This window comes from Homo sapiens, chromosome 18, assembly GCF_000001405.40.
Source record: "Homo sapiens chromosome 18, GRCh38.p14 Primary Assembly".
In the NCBI taxonomy this organism is placed as follows: domain Eukaryota; kingdom Metazoa; phylum Chordata; class Mammalia; order Primates; family Hominidae; genus Homo; species Homo sapiens.
Window position 1 is genome coordinate 4,477,180 of NC_000018.10, and position 5,192 is coordinate 4,482,371.

Here is a 5,192-nt window from a genome sequence, read left to right on the forward strand (position 1 = left end):
CATTGCTGGTGAGGAACTGCGTTCCTTTGGAGGAGGAGAGGCGCTCTGTGTTTTAGAGTTTCCAGTTTTTCTGTTCTGTTTTTTCCCCATCTTTGTGGTTTTATCTACTTTTGGTCTTTGATGATGGTGATGTACAGATGGGTTTGGATTGGGAGGAGCCAAGATGGCCGAATAGGAACACCTCCGGTCTACAGCTCCCAGCGTGAGCGACGCAGAAGACGGGTGATTTCTGCATTTCCATCTGAGGTACCGGGTTCATCTCTCTAGGGAGCGCCACACAGTGGGTGCAGGTCAGTGGGTGCGCGCACCGTGCGCGAGCCGAAGCAGGGCGAGGCATTGCCTCACTTGGGAAGCGCAAGGGGTCAGGGAATTCCCTTTCTGAGTCAAAGAAAGGGGTGACGGACGCACCTGGAAAATCGGGTCACTCCCACCCAAATATTGCGCTTTTCGGACCGGCTTAAAAAATGGCACACCACGAGATTATATCCCACACCTGGCTCGGAGGGTCCTACCCCACGGAGTCTCGCTGATTGCTGGCACAGCAGTCTGAGATCAAACTGCAAGGCGGCAGCGAGGCTGGGGGAGGGGCGCCCGCCATTGCCCAGGCTTGCTTAGGTAAACAAAGCAGCCGGGAAGCTCGAACTGGGTGGAGCCCACCACAGCTCAAGGAGGCCTGCCTGCCTCTGTAGGCTCCACCTCTGGGGGCAGGGCACAGACAAACAAAAAGACAGCAGTAACCTCTGCAGACTTAAATGTCCCTGTCTGACAGCTTTGAAGAGAGCAGTGGTTCTCCCAGCACGCAGCTGGAGATCTGAGAACGGGCAGACTGCCTCCTCAAGTGGGTCCCTGACCCCTGACCCCCGAGCAGCCTAACTGGGAGGCACCCCCCAGCAGGGGCACACTGACGCCTCACACGGCAGGGTATTCCAACAGACCTGCAGCTGAGGGTCCTGTCTGTTAGAAGGAAAAGTAACAAACAGAAAGGACATCCACACCAATATTTAAGATTAATAACAGGGCACAATTCCAAATGCTAGTGAGGAGGTAGAATGGCAGGTGTTTACATGCATGGCTGGTAAGAATGCAAAATGTTACAGCACTTTATAAGAGTGTATCAGTTTCATACATATTTAAACATATGCTTACCATATAAAGAACAAATCTTCTAGGTATTTCTCCTAATGAAATGAAAACCTGTATTTGTACAAACATATATATGTGACTGTTTACAAGCAGCTTTATTCACAGTTTTTCAAAACTAAAAATAACTCAACGTCCTTTAATTGGTGAAGGGATTAAAAAAACTCTAGTACATTCATACAGTGGAATACTACTTAGTAATAATATAAGACAAGCTCATGACACACAAAACACAGATGAATCTGAACGGCATCATATTAAGTGAAAGAAGCTTAACTCAAATGCCTACATATTGTATGATTATATTCCTATGATAAATTTGTAGGAATGGGGAACACATCACAGGTTGTCAGAAGTTGCAGATAGGTGGAGGAGTTAACTTACAAAGCAGCAGCACAGGGAACATTTGGAACAACAGAGCAGTTTTATATCTTGGTTGTCTTGTTTATACTGTCCTCAAAACTCATAGAACTATATACCACAGTGAATTCTATTGTATACTAATTTAAAGAGTGAAAGCTAAAATAATGAAGAGAATGATAAGAAACGCCATAATTTGGTTGGTTAAAAAAAGTACAAGCAAAATAAAAAGGATTCCCAGAATGTGTAGAAAGAGGGGTCTAAAAATCCCATACATATATACATCCCTGTGAAATTTTATAGCACTAAGAATAAATACATACCCTAAAATCTGAGAAAGAGACAGAGACAGAGAGAGAGACAGAGAGAAAGAGAGAATATAAGTCTTACAACACAATCAAAATCCCACTGACAGTTAACCTGCAAATCTATACATGATCAAACTGGTACTCAACTGTGGATGCAATAAAGATGATGTAATTCTTGCAGCAATGGAGAAGTTCACTTTTTTATTTTTTATTTTTCTTTGAGATGGAATTTCTTTCTTGTTGCCCAGGCTGGAGTGCAATGGCGAGGTCTTGGCTCACTGCGACCTCTGCCTCAAGTGACTCTCCTGCTTCAGCCTCCCAAGTAGCTGGGATTACAGCCATATGCCCCACGCCTGGCTAATTTTTTTTTGGATTTTTAGTAGAGGTGTGGTTTCACCATGTTGACCAGGTTGGTCTCGGACTCCTGACCTCAGGTGATCCGCCTGCCTCAGCCTCCCAAAGTGCTGAGATTACAGATGTGAGCCACCACGCCTAACCAATAAGTTCACTTTTAATATACCCTTTATGAGGAAATTTTTTGAGGTTGTAATCCAGCAAAATAAAGGTAAAAGTCGTGAAGGAGAAACTGTGCAACTGAGTCAGGAACGCAGTGAAACAAATGCCCGAGTGACTTGTCTGTGTAAGCCTAAAAAGTTATTGGTCCAAATTAAATCCTAAAGTCAGTGAACCCTAAGAAGAATGTCTTTAAAAAGAATGAGATAATTTCTAATTAGTGGTTGAAATAAATAGGAAACTGGGGCTTCTTAGTGTTATGTTGAAGAATGCATATATTTATTCTCTCAACCAGGTAAATGTAGGGACACTGAGAAATTGTAGGAAAAATAAAGAGCTGTACTAAGAAATTGTAGGAAAAACAAAGAGCTGTACTAAAGAGCCATGGTTAATTTATGAAACAAAGTAAAAAAAAAGGCATGATTTCAGACAATTGAAGAGATATAGAAAGTACATTTCTTTAGTATTTAAGCAATATTATTCTCAGGCGGTCCTGTGTATGTGACCTGGGATATGTAGAGATTTGAATGGTGTCCTTGACCAGCATGTTGCTCTTCACTGGGAAATAGTTACACAACTGCAATCAGGTCAATGCTATTTTTTGGGTTTCAAGTATCAAGTTGTACTTAGTTATGGTTACAAACAGAACATAAAATGTTATTGGTGTTGTCATTGTCAAAATAAAGCTATCTTTGACAGAATTTAGAAGGTGAATGTGAAGAAGACGTGGAAAAAATTGGAATGTTAGAATGTTCAACTGAAGAAGTGACTGGAGCCAGCTGTGGTGGTTCATGCCTGTAATCCCAGCACTTTGGGAGGCCGAGGCAGGAGGATCACGAGGCAGGGGGTCAGGAGCTCAAGACCACCCTGGCCAACATGGTGAAACCGTGTCTCTACTAAAAATACAAAAATTAGCTGGGTATGGTGATTCACACCTGTAGTCTCAGCTACTTGGAAGGGTGAGGCAGGAGAATTGCTTGAACCCGGGAGGCAGAGGTTGCAGTGAGCTGAGATGGCACTACTACACTCCAGGCTGGGTGACAGAGGGAGACTCTGTCTCAAAAATAAATTAATTAACTAGTTAATAAAATAAGTGACCGTCTGAAGTTGACAGATCAAGATATATAAATAATTCTATTTAAAGAAAAATCAAGTAATGACTAAACTAAGATAATAACGTAAGTAATAAAATTAAGAACATAATGGATGGCTACATGAGGGCATCTGAAAGTGGTAATTTGCGTTCAGAGAATAGAAGATTTGCTTGCTAAATCAAGAAATACTGGTATGTTATTTAGTGTTATAGATGAAACCACCAGAAAAATCGCTATGAGAACTACTAAAACTGCTTGCTTCTCAGTAGCAGGATTGGAGATGGTGAGGAATGAGATGAAATATTATAAAATCTTTAATACTGCTTAATTTTTACTATTTGCCTCATTCACTTTGATAAAAATAAGAGAAACACTAAACAAAAATTGGAAAGTGTTAAGTAAAAATGACAGAGGGAAGAAATTACAATGACAGGAAATATATTGGGGTATCATCAAATATGACTCCCTTACTTTCAAATTCACAGAGGAAACAGACATAGTGATACAACAGAGAGAAACTCTCAAATAGAGTAATATTCAACAGGGATGAGACTTTCTAAAATTAATACAATCGCCAAGTTACCTTAAATTGACGGAAAAGAGCAGATTTCTATAAAAACAAAATGAGTTTTAAAAGAAGCTTTCTGTTGAGCTCAGATTTTGGAAATCATAATTTCAAGTATTGAAAGAGAAACATAGAACCAAGGATGCCTATGGAAACATGATTCAGTTTCAATTCTTATGATTATAGTACAAGGAAAAAAATAGGGTATTATAAAACAAAATTAGAACAAGACCAAAGATGGCCTAAGTACAATCATTTGGGCAGATGGTTTAATGAGACCAAACTACTCAACTTATGTTCCTTTTTTGTTCTTATTTATTTTAATCACAGAGAAAAATTTGCAATATAGAAAAGAACATTTTTTAAAACTTTATTAAGAGAGATTTAAAGTCCAATGAAGGTGAGAAATAGTAAGACAGCCTTGGGTACTTAAAAGATGCTAAGGTTAAATATATTGAATAAGTTTGCAGATACAATTGAAGAAATATTGTTAATGATTTTTTTTTAAAAATCATATATATGGATGGAAGAGTTAGGTGACTTCAGCTGTACCAATATCACCATAATATTTTTCAAAAGAGAATAAAGAAAAAGTCCTTACATTATTATAAATATTACCAAATTTTATATCAGTTCCAAGAAAAGCTCTACAAAGGGTTATAAAATCATTCTTAAACAAAGAAACTGGTCATCAATATAAACAATGTAGATGCATAAAAATAGATAATCATGGGATAATTTGTAACAAAATAGGATTATTGACTAGACCAAGAGAAGCTTACAAATACACAAAGAGCATCTTAATATTCAACAACTCATGCAAGTACATCACACATATCCTACGGACAAGATTGAAAAGTGTTGGCTGTATTATAGGCTGATTAGTTGAAACCATATTTACTTGAACAGTTATATCCAAAGAGTGTTGATTGATGCAATATGTCAGTCACTGAGGAGGAAAATCAGAAAAATCAATAGTAGCACCCAATAGGGTTTCCCCATGTTCATTTTACAATTTTCACTTTGGATTGAAAGAAGAATCAGGAAAGTCATCATATTAGAGAAGCAAACAACTGCTGATAAAGATCCTAATGCATTCAGGCAATGAGCTGAAATGACATGAAACTCAATAGGAATAACTTTATGGCTTCCTCTTAAAATGTTTTCCCACCAATTTTTAAAAGATCACTTGATGAAGTAGATGGGGAAGAT

At 38.7% G+C, this 5,192-nt stretch overlaps 1 annotated feature.

Moving 5' to 3' along the window:
* Nucleotides 412–1,054: an enhancer, noted in NCBI's record as "NANOG-H3K27ac-H3K4me1 hESC enhancer chr18:4477591-4478233 (GRCh37/hg19 assembly coordinates)". NCBI's record gives its function as "activates a minimal SCP1, AML or CMV promoter by ChIP-STARR-seq in primed H9 embryonic stem cells {active_cell/tissue: H9 hESC(primed)}" and the evidence as "EXISTENCE:reporter gene assay evidence [ECO:0000049][PMID:30033119]".